This window comes from Homo sapiens, chromosome X (assembly GCF_000001405.40).
Source record: "Homo sapiens chromosome X, GRCh38.p14 Primary Assembly".
In the NCBI taxonomy this organism is placed as follows: domain Eukaryota; kingdom Metazoa; phylum Chordata; class Mammalia; order Primates; family Hominidae; genus Homo; species Homo sapiens.
Window position 1 is genome coordinate 131772588 of NC_000023.11, and position 25541 is coordinate 131798128.

The window sequence follows — 25541 nt, forward strand, 5'->3', positions numbered from 1 at the left end:
TATATATATATATAGTACTGATTTCCCAGCAGTGGGATTGCTACATCATATGGTAATTCTATTTTTAGTATTTTTGGGAAACTCCATCCTGTGTCTCATAGAGGCTGTATTAATGTACATTGCAGGCAACATTATACAAGCATTCCTCTTTCTCTGCTTACTAGCCAACACCTGTTACTCTCTGTCTTTTTTGTAAGAGTCATTTGAGCTGGGGAAATACGGTACCCCACTGTAGTTTTGATTTACATTTCCCTGATGATTAGTGATGTTGAGCATTTTTTCATGTATCCGTTAGCCATTTGTGTGCCTTTCTTTCAGAAATGTCTATTCAGATCATTTGCCCATTTGTAAATCAGATATATTTGTTTTTTTTCTATTGAGCTGAGCTTTTTTAAGTTTGCAAATATATTCTCTCTTACTGTAGGTTGTCTCCTCACTTTATTGTTTTCTTTGCTGGGCAGAAGCGTTCTAGCTTGATTTACTCTCATTTGTCCATTTTTGCTTTGATTGCCAGTGCTTTTTGAGGTCTCCCACAAAAAAATCATTGCCCAAAATGATGTCTTAAAGCATTTCCGCAGTCTCTTCTTCTGGTACTTTCATATTTTCGGGTCTTTTCTTATATTTGTTGAGCCTTGTTCTGTGGCCTAACACATGCTCTATACTGGAGCGTGTTCCATGTGCTGACTGATGACAAGAATGTATATTCTACAGCAATTGGATGAAACATTTTGTAAATGTCAGTTAAGTTCATTTGGTCTAGAGTACAGTTTAATTCCAATGTTTCTTTGTCTGGATAAGCTGTCCATTACTGAAAGTGGGGTACTGAAGTCTCCCACTATTGTTGTACACCTGTCTATCTCTCCGTTTAGATCTCCAAATGTTTGCCTTATCTATTTGTGTGTTCCAGTGTTGGGTACGTACATATTTTAAATTGTTATATCCTCTTACTGAATTGGCATCTTCATTTTTTGTTTTGTTTTGTTTTTTTTGTTTGTTTGTTTTTTGAGTCTGGCTCTGTCGCCCAGGCTGGAGTGCAGTGGCGCGATCTCCGCTCACTGCAAGCTCCCCCTCCCAGGTTATGCCATTCTCCTGCCTCAGCCTCTGGAGCAGCTGGGACTACGGGCGCCTGCCACCACGCCCGGCTAATTTTTGTATTTTTAGTAGAGACGGGATTTCACCGTGTTGGCCAGGAAGGTCTCGATCTGCTAGCCTCATGATCCGTCCGCCTCGGCCTCCCAAAGTGTTGGGATTACAGGCGTGAGCCACCGCGCCCGGCCGGCATCTTTATTGTTATACAGTGACCTTCTTTGTCTCTCTCTACAGTTTTTGACTTTAATCTAATTTATATAAGTCTAGCCTTTCCTGTTCTTTTTCCATTCCTGTTCATTTTCATGTTGTTGCTGATGTCCCGCTCTGGTTTGAGATCTTCTTTGCCTGAGTAAAAGAGAAGTCCCCAGATTTAATGCACTGGGGTTGCTAGCTTCAACTCCACTTTCAGTCTCAGACTACCCCCTCAGGGATTTTTCCTCCTACAGGCAGTCAGGATGCCTCCTAGGGATTGAGGCAAGAATAGGATCCCTGCAAAGGACACCAAAATGGGAGAGAAGCTAGCTCTCTGCCTTGATCTCACATTTTACAGAGGAAACTGTGAACCAAGGGGTACTTTTCTTTTTTTCTTTTCTTCCTTTTTTTTGGTGGGGGGGGGAGCAGGGGGATGGAATCTCACTCTGTCACCCAGGCTGGAGTGCAGTGGCGCAATCTGGGCTCACTGCAACATCTGCCTCCCAGGTTCAAGTAATTCTCCTGTCTCAGCTTCCCGAGTTGCTGGGATTATAGGGGCACACCACCACGCCCGGCTAATTTTTGTATTTTTAGTAGAGACGGGGTTTCACCATATTGGTCAGTCTGGTCTCAAACTCCTGACCTCAGGTGATCCACCTGCCTCGGCCTACCAAAGTGCTGGGATTATAGGCGTGAGCCACCGCGCCCAGTCAAGGGGGACTTTTCTACATGGTGCCTAGCAGCCTTGGGTTGGGGAGTCATGGAGAGAGAAGTCCATTAGTCTTTCTAGCTGCTCATACTTTTTCACTTCCTTATAGCCCCATGGATAGTCACAGTCTCAATGTTCAGTTCTGGAATATTGCTTCTAGTAATCTTGTCTCTACACAGCTGTTTTTACTTTTCTTTGAGGTAAAGTCAGATCACTTCTGCTATACCATGTTGGTGATATCACTCTCCCTTTGCCTATTTTTTAAAAATTGGGTTATTTGTCTGTTTATTGTTGAGTTTTAAGAGTTATTTGTTTTTATTGGATATTAGAAGTTTTTAGATAATTGATTTGGAAATATTTCCTCCCATTCTGTAAGTTGGCTTTTCAAGTTCTGAATTGTGTACTTTGATGCAAAAAGTTTTTAATTTCAGGGAAGTCCAATTTATTTTTTCTTTTGTCATTGCTGCTTTTGGTGGTATAGCTAATAAATCATTGCCAAATCTAAAGTTGTGAAGATGTATCCCTATAGTTTCCCTGAAGGTTTTATAGCTTTAGCTCTTATATTTAGAAATTTGATATATTTTGAGTTAATTTTTGCATATAATGTGAGGTAGAGGTCTAAATTCATCCTTTTGCATGTAGATAACCAGTTGTCTAAGTACTATTTGTTAAAGACTCTATTAACTACTCATAAAATGACCTTAATAACTTTGTCACAAATGAATTGACCACAGTGTCTGAGTTTATTTCCAGGCTCTCCATCTTTTCCATTAATCACTGTGTGTATTCTTATTTGATTATCACACTGCTTTGATTACTCCAGCTTTCCTAATAAGTTTTGAAATCCAGAAGTGTGAGTCTTCCACCTTGGTTTTTCTTATTCAGAGTTTACATTGGTTATTCAGATCTCTTGCAATTCAATAGGATCTTTAGGATTTGTGTTCCTTTTTTACAAAAAAAATGCTCATTGGATAACAATAAGGATTACATTAAATCTATAGATCTCTATGGGTAGTATTGCCACGTTAAAAATATTTAGTCTTCAGACCCATTACCACAGGATGTTCTTTATTAAAATTTAGGTTATCTTTAACTTCTCCATTATTTTGTGATTTTCAGTGTACAAGACTTTCATCTATTTAGTTAATTATTGTCCTGAAATTATGATTCATTTTGATGCTATTGTAAATGGAATTGCTTTCTTAATTGAATTTTCAGATTATTCATTGCTAGTGTACACAACTACTACTGATTTTTCCAAGTTAATGTTCTGTCCTGCAGTTGCTTGCTGGATCTTGTTCACTACCTCTAATACTGTTTTTCTGGGTTTTTGAGCTTTTTTTTTTTTTTTTGACTGGAGTCTTGCTCTGTCGCCCAGACTGGAGTACAATGGCACGATTCCGGCTCACTGCAACCTCTGCCTCCTGGGTTCAAACGATTCTCCCACCTCAGCCTCCCGAGTAGCTGGAATTACAGGCACCCGCCATCATGCCCGGGTAATTTTTGTATTTTTGTAGAGACGGGGTTTCACCATGTTGGCCAGGCTGGTCTTGAACTCCTGATCTTAGGTGATTCACATGCCTCAGCCTCCCGAAGTGCTGGGATTACAGGTGCGAGTCACTGCGCCTGGCAGCATTTTTTATAAGATCACTGTATTTGTGAAGAGAAATAATTTCCATTTTTTCTTTTCAACTGGGATATTTTTTATATATCTTCATTGCCTGATGACCCCAGCTAGATTTTAAGTATAATGTTTAAGAGAAGCGGCAAAAGTGGGCATTTTTCTCCTGTTCATGATTTTAGGAGCAAAGTTTTCAGTCTACCTCTTGACTATATTATTAGCTGTAGGTTTTAATAAATGCCCCATATATCGTGCTGAGAAAATGATCTTCTAATTACATATTATAGATTGTTTTGAGTTGCTTTTCTGGAGAGATGGACTACAGAAAGTGTCTACTGCACCATTGTCATTGATGTCACTTTTGCTACCTGTTTTTGAATTTGTAGGAACACTCATCCTTCTTCAAAATGTGCCTGACAAAATAGTCACATATGAAAAAGTAGTTACAGATAGATAGGCAATGAGCACGGCAGGAAAGGGCTCTCCCTGACCCAGTAGGAATGTCACATGATGGTTCGGCAATGATCACATTGCCCCTCTAAAAATGATAATTTGGTAGCCTGGGAGAGACAATCTCCTGATGATCCACATCTGTTAATATTAAAAGTACGAATTGAATGCAGGCCACAGGGAGAAGCAGCTTCTTGGGCATGCGTATTAAGACACAAAATGGCGAAATATGATGTTCCGGGTACATGCCACCAGAAAAAAGAAAAAAGCCTCAGATGGGCATGTGTATAACTCCCTAAACACACTGCACAGTGCTCAATTCCAAAGGGTAAGGAGGGCACTGCGCATGCGGAAAGCTCACCCTAAAGGAAGAATCATGAGCAAGAGGTAAGCCTATAAGGTCCCATGATCAAGGTTAAAAGGTCTTTTTGTTCTCTTGGCCATTCAGGCACCCACTTGGATCTCTTCCAAGGGTTCTTTCTTTCCTTTCTTTCCTGTTCTAAAGCCTGTTAAATAAACTTCCACTCCTGCTCTGAATCTTGCCTCAGTCTCTTTTCCTGCTTTATGCTCCTCAGTGAAGTTCTTTCTTCTGAGGCGCCAGGACTGAAGTTCCTCTGGACCTATATGGATATGCCGCCTGTTACTCGGGGTAACTCGGTTCACTGCCACCGCTAACAAAGTGAGATCATGGGTAATGCTACCTCCCACAGACAAGCACTTTTAAAATGTGGATTAATTTTCAATCCTTTTCACTCCTTTTGTTTCCCATCCCTTTATGTGTAACAACTCCACTAAATAAATAAATAAATAAATAGAATGGCCGGGCACAGTGGCTTACGCCTGTAATCCAGCACATTGGGAGGCCAAAACGGGATGATCACCTGAGGTCAGGAGTTCAAGACCAGCTTGGCCCACATGGTGAAACCCCGTCTCTACTAAAAATACAAAAATTAGCCGAACTTGGTGGAACCCACCTTTAGTCCCAGTTGTTCGGGAGGCTGAGACAAGAGAATCCCTTCAACCTGGGAGACGGAGGATGCAGTGAGCTGAGATCGTGCTGCTGCACTCCAGGCTGGGCGACAGAGCAAGACTCCATCTAAAAAAACAAAACCAAAAAACAACTCTACTAGAAGATGTAAAACTTTAGGTCCTTTCAGTCTTTAGACAACTAGATGCCCTTGAGACTATCAGCAAACATACTGGCTCCTGCTTTATCACACCTGGAACAGGCCTGTCTTTGGTGTTCTCATACTGCTGCAACAAAGGACTGTGATACAGTAACACTGCCTGAAAGCCTGCTAACTCTTGCTCCAAGGGACAGGACAGAACACACACACCCATCCCCCCCACACACAGCATCTAATGTCTCAGGAAATCCCTGAAGAGTATGTAATGCATGGGAACATGCTGTGTTCTGGTGTTAAATGTTGAGACCATGAGATGAAACTGAGTGATCTCGATAGGAACTGAACATAGGGACTATGAGGATCACGCCATGTGGAGCATATAGGCCAGGGAGTTATGACTGCTATCTGGTCCTTACTCTGTGGCTCATGCCAAATTGTTGACTACAAACAACACTTGAGGCTAGAACATGAAGAACTCCTAGTTTTCTGGGAGGGAAACCAGGTCAAAGACCATCAGGATTTGTAAATTGTTTGCCAAAGATCTCTTCCTAGTTTCAAATAATTTTTTCCTTATTGCACTTTTATCCACCAAGTTTATCACCTGAAGGAGACAATTTGATGCCATGGAACTTGCTGGACTGTAACTGTGTGAAGTAAATCCTATCCAGATGGAACTTGCTGGACTGTAACTGTGTGAAGTAAATCCTATCCAGATAGACACAGTGAGGAGTATATTTAATTTCTGAAAGAACAAGATTCCTGAGGAGCATGGGTAGTTCAGGCCTCATTTTGTTTTCAGATGGACAGAAAAATAGCAAAAATTCAACAGTAAGACAAGGTTGCACCAAACAGGACAAATCTCCATGCAGCCAGATTTGGTGGCGCCTTTTTCCTCTGAGTGGCGTTTTTTCAGACATAAAAGGCGGGGGAAGAGTGCGCCAAGATAGGGCTTCCATGAAAAATGTGAATCACTACTGCCACCGTGAGGAAATTGTTTAAAGACAGAATCCGCCATCACACACTCCTTCCCAGGAAGCTATGGGGGAAGGTCTCAATTGGGCCGAGGTGGAAGAGGATTGGGCTCCAGACTAGGTCTTGTTGCCTTCTCCTCTCAGGTCTTAAGAGAGCTCTGGACATTGACGGTATCTTGGTGTAGAAACTGGACAGTAAGGGGCTTGGAGTGAGGCAGCGGCTGCCAGGCGGCCCCGGCACAGGAAGTCGGGAGCGGGGCCTCGGTTCCTCCTGGTTTGGGCAGGACAGCAGGAACCCACTCAAAGTCGAATTCTTGCTCTTGTGGGAATCTGTCTCCTGTTCCTGCCCCTTAGAGCAAGAGCTGGCGGGCTTTCCCATGGTGTCATCTTGCTACAGGTCTTTGGGTCTCTTGCGGCATCAGTATCCGCCCACAATTGACAGGGTTCCTCCAAGGGAAATTTACAGGATTTGCTTTCCTTCACTATCCAGGTTCTATACCAAGACACCGCCAAAGTCCAAATCTCTTTTAAGGCGTTAGACGAGAAGGCAAGGAGGATCAGCATGGATCCCAGGCCTTTTCTACCTCCCCACAGACCAGACCTTCTCCAACAGGTAGCCCTCAGGGGAAGGACGTTGACGTGGCGTAGGGTGTCTTTAAACTATCACCTTACGATGGGACTAGTGCTCTAGATGTGCCAAGATGTGTCTTGGATTCCCTCTTCTCCCGCCCTCCCTGTCTGAAAAAACGCCACCCAGACACAAAGGCACAAGAAAATATGGCTGCCTTGTTTTTTGCCCAGTTTGGAGTCATCTGGTCTTACTGTGTCACTTTTGTTTCCCATCTGAAATCAAACCAAGGCCTAAACCACCCACCCTCATCGGGAATCTTACTCCTTCAGAAACTTAAAATCTTCCTAACCTAGTCTATATGATTATGAATTACCTCAGACTTACAGGTCCAGTAGTCTCCATGGCATCAAACTGCCTCCTCAGGGGATAAATTTGGGGATGAGGGCACAAGGATAAAACTGCTTGAACCTCAGAGGAGATCTTTTCCAGCAAACAAGTTACAGACCTTGGTGGTCTCTGACCTGGCTCCCCTTCCCGACAACCAGGAAGTTCTTCATGTTCTACCGCATGTGTTGCATTGTAGGCAACAATTTGGCAAGAACCATAGAGGAGGAACCAGAAAGCTGTCATTGCTACATGCCATATGTGCTCCACATGGCATGATACTCATACTACATATGTTCAGTTCCTGTCGAGGTTACTCAGAGTTTCATCTCATGGTCTCATCATTTAACATCAAAACACGGCATGATCCCATGACACTACATATTCTTCAGGTATTTCCTGAGACTTTAAGTGGTGTGTCTGTTTGTGTGTGTGTGTGTGTGTGTGTGTGTGTGTGTCTATTTTTAAATAATTTGTATTTTAGATATAAGTCTTACAGTATTCTCCTACTGGTTAATTAAAGAATAATGCTTGACAAAGATTGAGAAAAATCAATGTACTAATAAAGATGAAAAGCACTACGATACAATTTGTCAAGGCAAAAAATAACCATTTGGATTATTTCCATATATATAATATATATATGGAGTATTTCCATATATATAAAATATATATATGGAGTATTTCCATATATATAAAATATATATATGGAGTATTTCCATATATATAAAATATATATATGGAGTATTTCCATATATATAAAATATATATGGAGTATTTCCATATATATATAATATATATATGGAGTATTTCCATATATATATATATAGAAATATATACATATATATATACACATAGAGAAATATATACATATATATATATATATATATATATACACACATACACTTTTTCTCTTTGGGGGGAGCGAAACTTTTTCTGTCACCCAGGCTACAGTGCAACGGCGCAGTCTCGGCTCATTGCAACCTCCAGGTTCAAGCAAATCTCCTGCCTCAGTCTCCTTAGTAGCTGGGATTACAAGCGCAGGCCACCAGACCTGATTAATTGTTCTGCATTTTTAGTAGACATGGGGTTTCGCCATGTTGGCCAGGCTGGTCTCGAACTCCTGACCTCAAGGCATCCAAAATCCTTAGCCTCCCAAAGTCCTGGGATTACAAGTGTGACCCACTGCACCCAGCTATAGATACATTCCTAATTTCATGCAAATAATAAATCTGTATTGAAATTGGGTTACACTTTACATTGTAGTTTGGAGCAGATCACATGTATATTTTAACAAAGCTTTCAGGAGCATGAATTCATTTAAATATCATCAATACTAAGTGTTGTTTTCAACATTTCAAGCCTTCAATGTAAATGAAGGAAAATCTGAAAAATATATGTTCAAAAACATTCCTTTAGAAAAGTAGACAGTATTTATTTATTTATAATTTTTTTTTTTTGAGATGGAGTTTCGCTCTTGTTGCCCAGGCTGGAGTGCAATGGCTTGATCTCGGCTCACCGCAACTTCTGCCTCCCAGGTTCAAGCGATTCTCCTGCCTCAGCCTCCCAAGTAGCTGGGATTACAGGCATGCGCCACCAGGCCCGGCTAAATTTGTATTTTTATTAGAGATGGGGTTTCTCCATGTTGGTCAGGCTGGTCTCAAACTCCTGACCTCAGGTGATCTGCCCACCCTGGCCTCCCTAAGTGCTGGGATTAGAGGCGTGAGCCACTGCACCTGGCCAATTTTTTGTTTAAATTATAACAGATGCATCACAATGTGCATTTTGGCTCTCTAGAATACATATTTGACTACATGTTTGGTTTAAGGTTCTGACATGTTAGAAGTAGAGTAACATACACTTTACTTTGTCATTTATCTTACCGTGTGGTAAGTTTAATCCTCAAGGTTCTATAATTTTTCTTTTCTCCCTAAATCAGAGGCAGGGAATGGCTGTTTATGAGGCCACAGAGAATGCAATTAAGATCTTGTGATGGGCCAGGCACGGTGGCTCATGCCTGTAATCCCAGCGCTTTGCGAGGCCAAGGCAGGTGGATCACAAGGACAGGAGTTCGAGACCAGCCTGGCCAATATGGTGAAAACCCCGTCTCTACTGAAAATACAAAAATTAGCTGTGTGTGGTGGCGCATGCCTGTAATCCCAGCTACTTGGGAGGCAGAGGCAGGAGAGTTGGTTGAACCCGGGAGGCGGAGGTTGCAGTGAGCTGAGATCATGCCAGTGCACTCCAGCCTGGGTGACAGAAGGTGACTCCGCCTCAAAAAAAAAAATGTGAAGGATAAAGGGACTATCTGGTGTAGATGAATGACATGTACCCAACCTAAATGGGAATGATAGGCTCATTGCCCCTCCACACTACCTTTCATTGCAGAATAAACCAATCAACCTCCTTGTCACTACCACTGGAACTTGGCTAGGTGTGATTTCCTTTCCAGGCTTCCATCCACTGCCCAGGCACATAGCCTCTTTATTAAAGATAGTTAGCAAGGGGTGAATAAAAGACCACTTAGCCTAAAGAATTCTAGGATTGGCACCACCAGCCTTTCTACCTTCAGATATGAGGTACTGTTCCATAGGTAGGTCTGTATTCTTCCATGAAAATGGTCGAGTCAAACTATTCCTCCATAGGAGGCAGTTTAGCAGATGTCTAAGTCTATTTTAGGTGAAATACTCTGGGGAGGTAAGATATCCTTTTTGTCCTTTCCAGGAACAAGGATCATGGAGAAATGCTTCCCCTAGCGTCTCCAAGGCATTCATGCATGCCAATAGTATCTATGTCTGCAGATCATCATTCAACTCAACAAAACCAGCTAGAGAGAGAGCTAGACACAGTCAAAGATGTCAAAAAAGCCAGGCTACCCTAGAATGCCTTACCCTGGAATGCCTGCCTGAATCCTCAGAGGCCAGGAGAGGTCATACCTGAACAAGCTCTTGAAGCACTGTAATGTCACAGTGCAGAACCAGACTAACATTAATTCCTTTCATTAAGAATTCAGATACTGAAATAATAAATTCTGAGGAAGAATGTCATGAGGAATAAGTCACCCATACAATTTTAGCCACTCTTATTGATTCCTCAATTATGAGTCATAGAGTTTCTGGAGGTCTCCACACCAAAGGTTGTATGTCTTCATCAGGAAATAGCTTTGAAGCTGATACAGAAAATACTAGCTAGGATGAGGTAAATAATGATTTGCTCAGGCCTAAACAATGCCATCCTTCTCAGGGACATCCAACAGAAGAGAGCTACCTATGTGGCCTCCTTGACAGAAATGAGATGTCATCGGGGTCCCATTATGACAAAAGACTTTCTCCTGAACTTATAAAGTCACAGAAGCTGCTGGCTTGTGCGCTCAGATAATTGCTTAGGCCTTCCATCACATTCTTGGCCTTCATCCACTTCAGCAAATCGGCTCTGCTAAAAGATGATCTGGCCCACATAGGCATGTCAGTGTATCCTCACTCCTCTATAGAGGTCCCTCTAGTTGTAGGCAATGGTGTTTAGAATTTTTGTGTATCGAGGACCATGTGAATGACACTGGCTTCAGATAGATTGTCCCTGGAACTGTCCTGTCCATTGCAATCTAACGATGCTGCTATAAATGTCACAGCTGCATAACACAGGGACAGCCAGATTGCCTAAAACTCCCAAGGGCATATTCATAACATAAATGCCCCAGGGGTCTGCACTTGGCTCTGTCATCTTCTAGTCTTGTCCCCACTATGAGGAAACTGAGGCCCTGTCCTCTATTTCCTGTACCAGGAGTTCCTGGAAACAGTTGGCTTAGTCCTGGTCCCTCACTCAGCAGATACTTCACTAAGACTTTGCATTTGTCTATTGCTTATGCTAGGCCTCAGAGAAAAGGGTAGGAATGCCAACTTGTGTCTTGGGTGGCTTTTCCTTCCGCAACTGCTAGGGCTTACATGCAGGAAACGCTCACGGCTTTGGACGCTATGAAACTATTTCCGCACGATGGCAGTATTGTACGAGAAAAGCCAACTAACTTTGCTCCAGGAGCTCTTCTCCCGCCCATCACGTTTCAAAAAAAAGGCCAAGAAGAGACAAAGACACCAGAAACTATGGCTACCTAACATTTTGCTACATTTGCGTAATGGTATTCCACTTTTGGCTTCTGCTGGATATTAAACTGAGGTGTAATCCACTCACCCTCATCAAGCATCTCCTCTTTTCAAGAACTCAGTTTCCGCTCAACCAAGTCTTCCCATTTCTACTCTTCTTCACTCAGCATTGTTTCTGCAGTGTTCTATTATGATATCAAATTGTCTTGTCGTATTGGGGACCGACCTCAGGGATCCATGTCTAAAGAGAAAGGAAAAAAAACATGTTGACATCTGAGGTCTTGGAGGACAGCAAATCTGGGCACCAGGCCACGTGTTTCTTCTCCTGACTCCCTACCCAGGTTCCCTGGGAGGTTTACTCCATGTTCAGACCTAGTCAGTAGGCCTTGTATGTTGAGAGGGAGGTCGCTATTTAGTGGGGCTCTAACATAAGAGTCCAGATAGCTCTCAAGCTTGACAGACACACACAACCCTACTTGAATGTACATAAATACAGGAATGACTATAAATGCTAATCAGATGGATCCCAGGATTTTGTCTTACAGTTTCATTATATAACAGTGTAACACAAACATTTTCCTGGGTCATTAAACTGCAATGGCTTACAACTATGTCCTATGAGTTTGCTGTGTATGTGTGTTACTGTTTATCAGTTAGGAATCAGTCCTGTATTTTCACATTAGTAACAAAGAGGTGGGATTCGCAAAGAAGCTAAAAAAAATGTGGTGATCAAGAGAAAAGCAATGCCATACAACTGTGTATTAAACACTGAAGGCTGGGCGCGGTGGTTCACGCCAATAATCCCAGCACTTTGGGAGGCCAAGGCAGGCGGATCACTTGAGGTCAGGAGATCGAGACCAGCCTGACCAACATGGCGAAACCTCGCCTTTACTAAAAATATAAAAATTAGCTGGGCGTGGTGTCACATGCCTATAATCTCAGCTACTCGGGAGGCTGAGACAGGAGAATCGCTTGAACCGGGAGGTGGAGGTTGCAGTGAGCAAAGATCGCACCATTGCACTCCAGGCTGGGCAACAAGAGCGAGAATCCGTCTCAAAAAATAAAAATAAAAAACACTGATACCCTTTTTCGTATTTGCTCCCACTTTCAATACATAGATAAAAGTTCTATATATACAGTCAAACAGTCAAACACCACAGTAAATTTACATTTAAATTGGATTCAGGCCAGGAGCAGTGGCTCATGCCTGTAATCCCAACATTTTGGGAGGCCGAGTCGGGCGGATCACTTGAGGTCAGGAGTTTGAGACCAGCCTGGGCACCATGTTGAAATGCCGTGTCTACTGAAAATACAAAAATAAGCCAGGTGTGGTGGCGAGTACCTATAATCACACCTACTCGGAAGGTTAAGGCAGGAGAATCGCTTGAATCCGGGAGGCCAAGGTTGCAGTGAACTGACATCACACCACTGCACTCCCACCTGGGCAACGGAGGGAGGGCCTGTCTCAGAAAAAAAAAAAAAAAAAAAATTGGATTTAGCTATGTATTGTAAAGTAAAAATTTTCATTCTAAAATTTGGTTCCTGACCAATTTTTGACATTGTCATATAAAATTTGCAATTTCTATATTTTAGACAATAAATTATTTGCAAAGAACTTCGTGATTATACTAGTCATTAAAAAATAAGTTGTTTGCTCTTTTTAATCTAAAAATGTGTTTATATGTATATAAACACATAAATATTTACATATCATATAAATATGTATATTATACATACTTATACCTCTGAAAATTAGGATTTTAAGATTATTCTTGAGATTTTAGCTCTAATTCTTACCTTCAAATTTTATCTTTAAAAACTCAAAAGAAGCAAAACAACATCCAATACATGATAATTGAATTAGGCATCTCTCACATTCAGTCACTTAGATGTGAACCCTAAGAAAACTGTAAGATGGATGTATTCACACCACTCACATGCAGCTACAATGTTTCATTAATGTCTGTTTATATAACTATGAATTAAAGATATGAATTTGTTGGCCAAAAATATCATATTCAAACATATACTCACTATAACACTGACCATGATTTGAAATATATGCCATTGGCTGGGTGTGGTGGCTCGCGACTGTAATCCCAACATTTTGAGAGGCTAAGGCAGGAGGATTGCTTGAGCCCGGGAGTTTGAGACCATCTCGGGCAATTTAGTGAGACCCTGTCTCTACAAAAAATACAAAATATACCTGTGCGTGGTGGCATGCACCTGTGGGCCCAGCTACACAGGAGGTGGAGGTGAGAGGATCACCGGAGCCCAGGGAGGTCGTGGCTGCTGTGAGCCACGATCATGCCACTGCACTCCAGCCTGGATGACAGGGCGAGACCCTGTCTAAAAAAATATATATATGGCATTTTTAAATCTGTATATGCATATAAACAGATATGAATACACACAGTCCCACACACATTTTACATTCAATATAATTGGATTCATACTGTTTGCAATTTTGTACAAAATCTTCGGCATCACCTTATAATCTTTGAATATATCCATATCAATATATACTTTTGAGTGCTTGAGTTTTTTTATATTTTACTCTAGAAAAACTTTAAGAAATTACAAGCAGAAAACATATGGTAGGTCAAACCTAGTGAGAAGTAATCACTTTTAAAATATCTATGCTATGTATTATGATCTCTTTCCTATGCACATATAATATGTACATTTATAAACTAATGTTCAAATTCCCCTGTAGTATAATCATTGAAACAAGTTTTCTTCACTGATAACTTGAGTACTTTTCAAATGTAATTAATTATTCTTGGAAATAATGATAGGTTTAAAAATATTGGCACTTTTTGAAACTGTGTTGGTAAAATTCATGTAACATAAAAATAACCATTAAAATGTTCAAATTTGGTGGCATTTAGTACATTCACAATGCAGTGCAAGCACTACCTCTGTGTAGTGGCAAATAATTTTCATTACCACAAAAGAAAACCGTGAACTCATTAAGCAGTCATTCCCCATTCCACTCTCTGCCCAGCTCCTAGCAAACACTAATCTACTTTCCCTCACTACTGATCATCACAATAAGTAGCCTTTTTTCTTTCTTCTTTCACTTAGCATGTTTTCAAATTTCATCCATGTTGTAATATATGTCAGTACTTCATTTCATTTTGTAGCTGAATAATATCCATATGTATATATCACATTTTGTTTATCCATTCATCAAGTGATGGATGTTTGCTTATGTTCACCTTTTGGGTATTGTTAATAAATATATACAGTGAGTATATAAAAGTACTTGTTTGAGTATTTGTTTTCAATCATATGTGGTGTATACATAGGAGTAGAGTTGCTAGCTCATATGGTTCCTTCTATGTTTAAATTTTTGAAGTACTGATAAACTGCTTTCTGTAGCAGGTGCACAATTTAGCATTTCCACCAACACTCTAGAAGAGTTCTAACTTCTCCACCTCTCCACTGATATTTGTTCTTTTTAAGTAATTCCCATTCTAGTGGGTGTTAATTGGTACCATCAGGTGGTTTTGATTTACGTTTCTGAAAAGACTAATAATGGAAGCATCTTTCATAGAACTGTTGGCTATTTGTATATCTTCTTTGGAGAATTGTATATTTAAGAGCTTTGCCTATTTTTAAAATTTGCATATAATTGTACATATTTATGTAGTACATATATTTTCATGCATCCACAAAATGTGTGATAACCAAAAAAGGATAACTGGGATACTCATCACCTAATGCATTTATTATTTGTTTGTGTTGGAAACATTTCAAATGTTCTTTTAGGTATTTGGAAATAAGCATTAAATTATTGCTAACTATGGTCGCCCTAAGTATGCTATTGAACACTAGAACTTACTCCTTCTGTCCAACTGTATTTTTGTAGCCATTAACCAACCTCTCTTCATTCCCCTCCTTTCCTAACTTCTGGTATCCACCATTCTACTCTATAGTTCCATGAGATGGATTCTTTCAGCTCCTGCACATGAGTAAGGACATGTGATAATTTGTCTTTCTGCATCTGGCTTATTTCACTTAACGTAGTGTCCTACAGTTCCATTCATGTTGCTGCAGATGACAGGATTTTATTCCTTTTTCTGGCTCAATAATCTTCCTTTTTATATGTATGTCACATTTTCTTAATCCATTCATCCGTCAGTGAACACTTAGGTTGATTCTATATCTTTGCTATTGTGAATAATGATGCAATAAACATGGCAATGCATATATCTCTTTGCTGTACTGGTTTCCTTTCTTTTGAATATATACTCAGCAGCGGGATTGCTGCATCATACGGTAACTCTATTTTTAGCTTTTTGGGGAAACTCCATCCTATGTCCCATAGTGGCTGTATTAATATACATTTACAGCAACAGTATACAAGCATTCCTCTTTGCTTCCTAGCCAGCAACTGTTATTCTCTGTCTTTTTAGTAAGAGCCATTTGAACTGGGGTAATATGGTATCTCACATGGTTTTGATTTGCGTTTCCCTGACGGTTAGTGATGTTTAACGTATTTTCATATATCTGTTGGCCATTTGTGTCTTTGTTTCAGAAATGCCTATTCAGATCATTTGCCCATTTGTAAATCAGATAATTTGGTTTTTGGTTATTGAGCTGAGTTTGTTTTACATTGTGATTTGTTATTCCATTGTTAGATCAATAGTTTGCTAAGATATTCTCTCTTTCTGTAGGTTGTCTCCTCACTTTGTTGTTTTCTTTGCTGTGCAGAAGCTTTCTAGCTTGATTTACTCTCATTTGTCTATTTTCGCTTTGATTGCCAGTGCTTTTCAGATCTTATACAAAAAATCTTTCCCCAGAACAATGTCTTAAAGCATTTCCCCAGGCTCTTATTCTAGTAATTTCATATTTTCGGGTCTTTTCTTAAATTTGTTTAGCCTTGTTCTGTGGCCTAACATATGCTCTATACTGGAGAATGTTCCATATGCTGATGACAAGAATGTATATTCTATAGCAATTGGATGAAATATTTTGTAAAGGTCAGTTAAGTTCATTTGGTCTAGAGAACAGTTTAATTTCAATGTTTCTTTGTCTAATTAAGCTGTCCATTACTGAAAGTGGAGTACTGAAGTCTCCCAGTGTTGTTGTACGCCATTCTATCACTCTGTTTAGATCTTCAAATGTTTGCCTTATATATTTCTGTGTTCCAGTGTTGGGTACATACATATATACAATTGTTATATCCTCTTGCTGTATTGGCATTTTCATTGTTATACAGTGACCTTCTTTGCCTCTCTTTACAGTTTTTGACTTTTAATCTATTGTATCTAAGTATGACCTTTCTCTCTCTCTCTCTCTCTCTCTTTCTTTCTTTCTCTCTCTTTCTTTCTTTTTTTTTTTTTGAGATGGAGTCTCGCTCTGTGGCTCAGGCTGGAGTGCAATGGCATGATCTCGGCTCACTGCAATCTCTGCCTCCTGGATTCAAGGGATTCTCCTGCCTCAGCCTCCCAAGTAGCTGGGATTACAGGCGTGTGCCACCACGCCCAGCTAATTTTTGTATTTTTAGTAGAGACAGGGTTTCACCATGTTGGCCAGGCTAGTCTTGAACTCCTGACCTCAGGTCATCCGCCTGCCTTGGCCTCCCAAAGTGCTAGGATTACAGGCGTGAGCCACCATGCTGGGCCAGAGTATAGCCTTTCCGGTTCTTTTTTCATTCCTGTTCATTTTCATGTTGCTGCTGATGCCCTCTCTGATTTGAGGTCTTCTTTGTCTCAGCAAAAGACGAGTCCCCAAATTTAATGCACTGGGGTTGCTAGCTTCGACTCCACTTTTTGTCTCTAGCTGCCCTCAGAGATTTTTCTTCCTACAGGCAGTCAGGATGCTTTCTAGGGAGTGAGGCAAGAACAGCATTCCTGCAAAGGACACCAAAATGGTAGAGAAGCTAGCTGCCTGCCTGGATCTCACATTTTACAGAGGAAACCGTGAGTCCAGGGGGAATTTTCTACATGGTGCCTAGCAGCTTTGAGTTGGGGAATCACAGAGACAGAAGTCTATTAATCTTTCCAGCTGCTCATATGTATTCACTTTCTTGTGGACCCACAGATCGTCATAGTCTCAATTTTCAGTTCTGCAATATTGCTTGTGACAATCTTGGCACTAGACAGCTATTTTTAGTTTTCTTTGGGGTAAAGTCAGATTGCTTCCACTCTACCATTTTGGTGATGTCACTCTCCCTTGGCCTATTTTTTAAAAATTGGGTTGTCTTTTGTTGTTTTTAAGAGTCCTTTATATGTATTGGATATTAGCAGTTTTTAGATAATTGATTTGGAAATATTTCCTCCCACTCCGTAAGTTGGCTTTTCAAGTTCTGAATTGTGCACTTTGATGCAAAATTTTTTAATTCCAGGGAAGTCCAATTTATTTTTTCTTTTGTTATTGGTGCTTTTGGCGGTATAGCTAAAAAATCATTGCCAAATCTAAAGTTTTGAAGACTTATTCCTATAGTTTCCCTGAAGGTTTTATAGCTTTAGCTCTTACCTTTAGACATTTGATACATTTCAAGTTAATTTTTGCACATGATGTGAGGTAGAGGTCTAACTTCATCCTTTTGCATGTGGATAACCAGTTGTCTAAGCACTATTTCTTAAGGAGTCTATTCACGTCTCATTAAATGAACTTGATAACTTTGTGAAAAGTCAATTGACCACAATGTCTGGGTTTATTTTCAGACTCTTCATCTCTTCCATTAATCACTGTGTGTATTCTTATTTGATCATCAGCCTGCTTTGATTACTCTAGATTTTCTAGTAAATTTTGAAATCTAGAAGTGTGTCTTCCACCTTGGTTTTTCTTACTCAAAGTTTGGTTACTCAGATCTCTTGCAATTTAATAGGATCTTTAGAATTTGCTCTTTCTTTTTCCCAAAAATAAATGCTCATGGGAATAATAATTAGGATTACATTAAATCTGTAGATCTCTATGGCTAGTATTGCCATATTATAAATATTTAGTCTTCTAACTCATTACCCACAGGATGTCCTTTTTAAAAATCCAGGTAATCTTTAAGTTCTTCTCCAATATTTTGTGATTTTTCAATGTACAAGTCTTTCATCTGTTTAGTGAAATATTCTCCTTAAAATATGATTTATTTTGATGCTATTATAAATGGAATTGCTTTCTTAATTCAATTTTCAGATTGTTCATTGCTAGTGTACACAACTATAACTGATTTTTACGATTTAATGTTCTATCCTGTGGGGCTTGCTGAATATTGTTCATTAGCTCTAATATGGTTTTTCTGCAGTTTAAAGCATTTTTATAATATCATCATCTTTATGAAGAGAGATAATTTCCATTTTTTTTTTCTTTTTTTTCTTTTCAACTTGGATGCCTTTTATATATCTTCATTGTCTGATGACCCTGACTAGAATTTTAAGTGTACAAGAAAAGGGCAAAAGTGTGCATTCTTGCCTTGTTCATGATCTTGGGAGGAAAGCTTTCAGTCTTTCACTCTTGAGTATAATACTACCTGTAGATTTTTTATAAATGCCCCATATATCGTGTTGAGAAAATGATCTTCTAATGATAGATTCTTGATTGTTTTGAGTTGCCTTTCCAGAGAGAGGGACTACAGAAGTTCCCTAATGCATACTTTTCATTGATGTCACTTTCGCCACCTGTTTTTGAATTCGTAGAAACAATCATGCTTCTTGAAAACATACCTGCCACAATAGTCATACATGATAACGTGAAGTGAGATCACGGGTAATGCCATCTCCAACAAATACTATTAAAATGTAGATTGATTTTCAGTCCCTTTCACTGTTTTTGGTTTATGTGTTTATGTACAACAGTCCACTAGAAGAAGATGTAACTCTTCCTTGATTAGCTCAGTGGTTCAATTTCTCTTTATGCCCTTCTAGTCTTCAGACAATTGGGTGCCCTTGAGACCCTCAGAAAACTTACTTGCTCCTGCTACATCCCACCTGGAATTGGTCTGTCCTTGGTGTTCTCACATTGCTGCAACAAATGACTCATGCCTCACAGCAGAGTGACACTGCCTGAAAGCCTGCTAACTCTTGCTCCAAGGGAGAAACATAACGCACCCATCCATTCCCCACGTAGGCACCGTGTAAAGTCTCAGGAAATACTTGAAGTATATGTAACACATGGGAATGTTGTTATTTTGGTGTTAAATGATGCGACCATGAGATATAACTCTGTGTAACCTCGACAGGAATTGAACATATGCATTATGAGTATCATTCCATGTGGAGTATATGTGGCGGGCAGCAATGACAACTATCGGATCCCTCCTCTATGGCTGATGCCAAATTACTGCCTATAGTGCAACACATGAGGCTAGAACATGAAGAACTCCCTGGTTGTCTGGGCGGGGAGCCAGATCAAAGAACACCAGAATTTGTAAATTGCTTGCCAGAGAAGATCTCCAAGTTTCAAGTAATTTTCTCCTTGTGCCTTCATCCCCTGAAAAAGATAATTTTATACCATGAAGTGTACTGGCCCCTTAACTCTGTGAAATAAATCGCACCCTCAAAGTCTTGGACAGGAGGATATTTAATTTCTGAAAGCACAAGATTCTTAATGAAGGCGGGCCTTGTTTGATTTCAAGTGGAAAACAAAAGCAAAAGTGCAGCGGTAAGACCAGCTGGCCCCAAACTGGGCTAAATGCAAGGCAGCCATGTTTGGTGGCGCCTTTGTGGATGCGTGGCGTTTTTTCATACAGGAAGGGCGGGAGTAGAGGGCGCCAAGACCAGACTACTTAGCATATTTGGAGCACTACTGCCATCGTGAGGATGTCGTTTAACGAAACCCTACGCCATTACAGAGTTCTAGTGTGGGCTACCTGTTGGGACAGGTCTGGTCTGGTAAGAGGTGGAAGAGGCTTGGCCTCTATGCTGGGAGGCCTCGCCTACTCCTCTAAGGCTTTAAAAAAGACCTGGACATTGGCGGTATCTTGCTATAGAACCTGGAGTGTGAAGGTTCTAATAGCAAATCCTGTAAACTTCCCTTGGAATAACCCTGTTAATTGTGCGCAACACTCATGCTACCAGAGACCCAAAGATCCATAGCAAGATGACAGCTCGTGGAAAACTTCTGACTCTTGCTCCAAGGGGCAGGAACAGCAAAGAGATGCCCATAAGAGCCTACATGTGTCTTTGAGAGGGTTTCTGCTGTCCTGCCCACACCAGGAGGAACTGAGGCCCCGACCCACGACTTCCTGTACCAGGACCTCCTGGCAGCTGCTGCTTCACTCCAAGCCCCTCAATCTCCAGGTTCTACACCAAGATACCGCCAAATTCCAGTTCTCTCTTCAGGCCTTAGAGGAGAAGGCAACAAGACCTAGTCTGGAGCCCAATCCTCTTCCACCTCCTCACAGACCAGACTTTCCCCCACAGCGAGGCTTCCCGGGAAGGACGCTGTAATAGCCTATTCTGTCTTTAAACGATTTCCTCACGGTGGCAGTAGTGCTTCAGATTTTCAAGGACGCCCTGTCTTGGAGCAGTCTTCTCCCGCCCTTCCTGTCTGAAAAAACGCCACCCAGAGACAAATGCGCCAGGAGACATGGCTGCCTTGCATTTTGCACAGTTTGGGGCAACCTGTGCAAATTCCTGTACTTTTGCTTTTCTTTTCCATGTGAAATCAAGTCAAAGCCTAAACGACCCATCCTCATCAGGAATCTTGTTCTTTCAAGAAATTAAATGTTTTCCAGACTTAGTCTATGTGGGTTGGCTCAGTACTTTCACATGGTATCAAAATGTCTGTCTCAGGCCGGAAATTAGACCGATCAGAGAAGAAAAGCGATAATAAATGGTCAGAAGCCTGGAGATCATCATGAGCCACCAATTCACAAGTCTAGGTGATCTTTGACCTATTCCCCTCCCCAGACAACCAGGGAGTCCTCCTCCATTTTCTCAGTTTATGTGATGAATTGTCAGAAAGTGTTTGGTAGAAGTAGGAAGAGAAGGCCAAGACAGCGCACATCATTGTATGTAATACATTGTTCCACAGGGCATGATACATATACTTACATCTGTATAAACTCCCATTAGAAGTTACACAGTTTTGGGGCAGATGCAGTGGCTCACGCCTGTAATCCCAACACTTTGGGAGGCCGAGGCCGGTGGATCACTTGAGATCAGGAGTTTGAGACCAGCCCGGCCAACATGGTGAAACCCTGTCTCTACTAAAAATACAAAGATGAGCCAGGTGTGGTGGCCCATACCTGTAGTCCCAGCTACTCAGGAGGCTGAGGCAGGAGAATCGCTTGAATCCGGGAGGTGGAGGTTGCAGTGAGCTGAGATCACGCCACTGCACTCCAGCCTGGGCGACAGAATGAGTGAGACTCTGTCTCAAAAAAAAAAAAAAAAAAAAAAGATAGTTACACAGTTTTAAAAATTGTCCTCTGTTTAACAGTGAATAATTTATATTTCCACATGTTCCTATGCCATTAAATATTTTTCAGCTTCTTCTTGTGACTTGAGTGTGTGTGTGTGTGTGTGCCTGCATGTGTGTGTGTGTGTGTTACCTCTTATCTCTTAGGTATCAGTCTTACAATATCTTCTTATTAGCAATGGTGTTTGCAAGCCAGGTACAGTCTTGTGTTCTTGTAGTTTCAGCTTCTTGGAAGGCTGAGGCAGGAGAATAGCTTGGGCCCAGGAGCAGAGCAGCTTGAAGAACATACTGACACCTTAGTCTCTAAAAAAAAAAAATTAAAAAAGAATGATGTTTGCCATATAGTTCAAAAATAATCTTGTGTACATCAAGAAGAATAACACCATCATAAAATCTGTTAAGACAACTGATAACATTTTGGGTTATTTTCTTCCATACTTTTCAATGTATAGATACATACGCCTACTATATTTTGTTCACACAAAAAATAAATCTATATTAAAATTGGATTAATCTGTACATTGTGGTTTGGATCAGACCAGATGTGTATTCTGACAAAGTTTTGAAGGGAAAGTATTTGCTTGCATTAAATGCATGTACAAATTCTCCTTAACATCTTGTTTTGTATAAATAAGTACATACACACATACATACGGATATAGGCACAGATCATGGTAACTGAAATGATTACCATGACTAATCACTACCATGACTAATCACTACTATGGTTAGTAAACATGTGTACACAGATAGGTGTATAAATATCATAAATAAGTGGTCTCTCAATCCCAATAGGAAATGACTTTTAAAATGGTTTTATCACACATTCACGTCTTCTATTGGTCATATAAGAACTTCTCTATTTAAAGTTCCCATATATTTGTATGTCCAGTGTTCAAATATGTTCTCTACATTTATTGTAGCTTAAACATTTGCAAACTTGTTAAATATTCTTAAAGATTATTCTTAAATATTTTGTGGGATGCCAGGTTGTTTTTAAGAGTGCCTTCCTGTTTTTGGCATTTCTCGAAATTAGATCTGCTTATTTACAATATTTTCAGATACAGTAGCCCTGTTTAAAGAAAAGCAGGTAGGTCACAGTTAATGCCACCACCAAGAAACAAGTAATTTCAAAATGCGGATCTATTATCAGCATTCCCTTTCTCTTTCTTTCTTTCTTTTCTTTTCTTTTCTTTTTTTTTTTTTGGCAGTTTCTCGACTTTATTAGCCTGGAGCTCCTCTCCGACATCCCCAGGGGCTGGTCTCTGGTCCCTGGGCACAGTGAGCAGGACTGAGGTCAGACGGGTTCAGCCCCTGGCCATAGCAGCTTGGGACAGCTGGGCCAAGGGAACAACAGGTGCAAAAGTCCAAATGCTGGCACTTCAGGTGTGGCCGGCACCCAGCCAGGCGCAACAGTGGATGGGCAGGACGCCATGCTCCTCTCCTGGCGATAGGTAGACCATAGCAGCGCTCCCTCCCAGCAGCCGCTAGGAACAGCTGGTGATTCTAGCCAGGAAGTGCTGCGCCCACCACTCGTCCAAGTCAATGGGCACGAAGTTCTGCAGCCGGGGATTGGGGATCCTCTCCACTGCACAGGCCTTGTCCCGCCCTCACCGGCTGGGCCACCATCCAGCTGCTGCCGCACCTGCTGCCAGGCTTCGGACACAAAGCGGACATTCTCCTTGTGGGCCAGTGTGTAGGTCTCCTGGGTCCCCTGGAGGGATGGGGACTTGGAGGGGTCCCGCCGGCGATTCACACGATTGAACACAAGCCTTGGCCCTGCACTCGACAGGGGCCAGGGTCCCAGCGGCTGCGCGAAGGGCTGCGCCCGCTGGGGCTGCAAGGTCGGCGGCGCGGGCTGCCGGCTTTTCAGGAGCTCCTGGAGCTGGCCCTTCACCTGCTGCTGCGTGAGACCTGTGCGGCGCTGCGCGACCAACTTGCTGGGCCCGTTGATGATGGTGTACATGGCGCGCCGCTCCCAGACTGCCGCCGGCCCCCCACCAGATCTCAGTATTCCGTTTTTCTATGTTTCGAAGAAATATAAATTACTGAATTCCATCTGTGGTCAATAAGGATTTTGCACCAACTGTTTCAGTACACGTTTGTTCTTGATTGCTTCTCAAATTATGAATATCAGCTTTTTGAGAAATCTCTTAGAATATTCAAATCTGTGAAGGACAAGCAAAAACACTTCATCGTAAATCCCATTTTCATGAAGCAACCACCATCAGCAGCTTGATGGCTACATGCATTCAAATATTATAAATGGATTCTATGATTGTTCATGAGAGGTGATACTATTTAACTAAAGCGATAGAGGCTTATTAATATACTCCCTTATTTGCACAACAAAGTGTTCAACATACACACACAATCACATTAATTACTCCCTTCAATTCCATCCTCATCAAACTATAGGTAGTATTTAATGCCTTGAATATTTCACACAATATTAGGTAATGGGAAATTTCCAATGGCATGGAGTAACTAATAGTACTTTATTGCTAACTCTCATAACATTTCTTTATTGTTCAAAAATAACAATGAATCAACTAGTGCTCAAATCCTAAGGATGATATAAACACTTAGCAAAAAAATGAAAAATTGAACAATTATAGCAGAAGTTAATGAGACATATTCTCTATCACATAAACTCAATCAAAATTCAATTACTGTTTTTCTCAACTGCATTTAGCTCGTTCTTCTATTTGCATTTTATTGGGGGGGGTAGAGGGAATGTACATGTGCAGGAATTTTTTTTTGTTATAAACATCAAATAACACCCTTTATGTGAAATTTCCTTCTAATTTAATATTTTTCCTTCTATCATTTTTCTCAGGTTTTATATAGAAAGCCTACTTAAAATGTCACTAAACATACTTCAGCTAATTGGATTTTGTGTTAAATAATAATTTGTTAGAACTTTTTAATTTTCTTGACTAGTAAGAGCAAGACATTTAATCATCCCAGCATGTAAACAGTGCTGTTTATTTTTAAATAAAAACATGGTATTACTCAGAATGTTATCAGTACTAAGCCTTATTTGTCAATGTGTCAAGCCTTCATTATAAATAAAAGTAAAACTGGAAAATGTGCTCTCAAAAACTCAGCTTTAGAGAAGTAGACACTGTTAGTTGTTTTGTTTGAATTTTTTCAATTTACAGATACATTACAATGTGCATATTGGCTTTCTAGAATACATACATGTTTAGACGTTTGGTTCAAGGTTATCACATGTTAGAAGTAAAATGCCCTTGACTTTGCCATTTCTCTTACCTAGTGTTAGCAAACTTACATGGTTTGATCCCCAAGGTCCAACTGTTTGCTTTTCTCCCTAAATCAGAGGCAGGGAATGTCTCTGCCAATCAGGCCACAGAGAATGGAATTCAGACTTTGTGAAGGCTGAAGGGATTACCTAAGGAGCCTAACTCATCTAGTCAAGGCTTTCTGTGAGTGTTCTTTAGATGATATTTGAAGGGAAGGTTAGAGGTCATTTTTCTCTTTCACAAAATACCTGGAAGACCTCGTGCTTTGCTTCCCAGAGCCTCTGCAAGGCACTGCTGTGTGTCAGTACACCTATGTCCATAGGCCATCCTTGAAATCAACCATGATAAGTCAAAAAGAGAGAGGCACAGGCCAGGATGTCACAAAAGCCAGTTCCCTTCTCCTGGTACAGCATGGTCTACATGGTAGGTGATGGAATCTTACCTTTCAAGGTAAGATATATTTTTATATCTTTTAGGTCTAGTTGACTCATAACTTTGTTCACATCCTCTAATTCCTTAATGATCTTCAGTTTAGTTGTTTCATTCATTACTTAAGGTGGGGTATTGGGCTGGGTGACGTGGCTCACGCCTGTAATCCTAGCACTTTGGGAGGCTGAGGCGGGCAGACCACTCAAGGCCAAGAGTTCAAGACCAGCATGGCCAAAATGGTGAAACCCCTTCTCTGCGAAAAATAAACAA

The 25541-nt window shown here is 40.8% G+C and overlaps 1 long non-coding RNA gene and 1 pseudogene across 2 annotated transcripts in view, besides 3 other annotated features; both read right to left on the reverse strand.

The window, feature by feature from the left end:
- Window positions 1-25541, reverse strand: part of FIRRE (firre intergenic repeating RNA element) — a 139119-nt gene that overhangs the window by 81063 nt on the left and 32515 nt on the right. Inside the window, exons 4-6 of one of the 2 annotated variants that reach the window (NR_026975.2) lie at window positions 23222-23744; window positions 21737-21879; window positions 11300-11452 (exon numbers count right to left, since the gene is read on the reverse strand). This is a non-coding gene — a long non-coding RNA (firre intergenic repeating RNA element). Of the gene's footprint in view, window positions 1-11299; window positions 11453-21709; window positions 21880-23221; window positions 23745-25541 lie in introns of both variants that reach the window. The other variant, NR_152876.1, reaches the window with a different exon arrangement.
- Window positions 6142-6481: an enhancer, noted in NCBI's record as "active region_29963". NCBI's record gives its function as "activates an Ori minimal core promoter by ATAC-STARR-seq in GM12878 lymphoblastoid cells {active_cell/tissue: GM12878}" and the evidence as "EXISTENCE:reporter gene assay evidence [ECO:0000049][PMID:35858748]".
- Window positions 19732-20101: an enhancer, noted in NCBI's record as "active region_29964". NCBI's record gives its function as "activates an Ori minimal core promoter by ATAC-STARR-seq in GM12878 lymphoblastoid cells {active_cell/tissue: GM12878}" and the evidence as "EXISTENCE:reporter gene assay evidence [ECO:0000049][PMID:35858748]".
- Window positions 20494-20788: an enhancer, noted in NCBI's record as "tiled region #4069; K562 Activating DNase matched - State 3:PromF, and HepG2 Activating non-DNase unmatched - State 15:Elon". NCBI's record gives its function as "activates a minimal TATA promoter and a strong SV40 promoter by Sharpr-MPRA in K562 cells, with weaker activation in HepG2 cells {active_cell/tissue: HepG2 | K562}" and the evidence as "EXISTENCE:reporter gene assay evidence [ECO:0000049][PMID:27701403]".
- MCRIP2P1 (MAPK regulated corepressor interacting protein 2 pseudogene 1) lies at window positions 22785-23583 on the reverse strand (annotated as a pseudogene).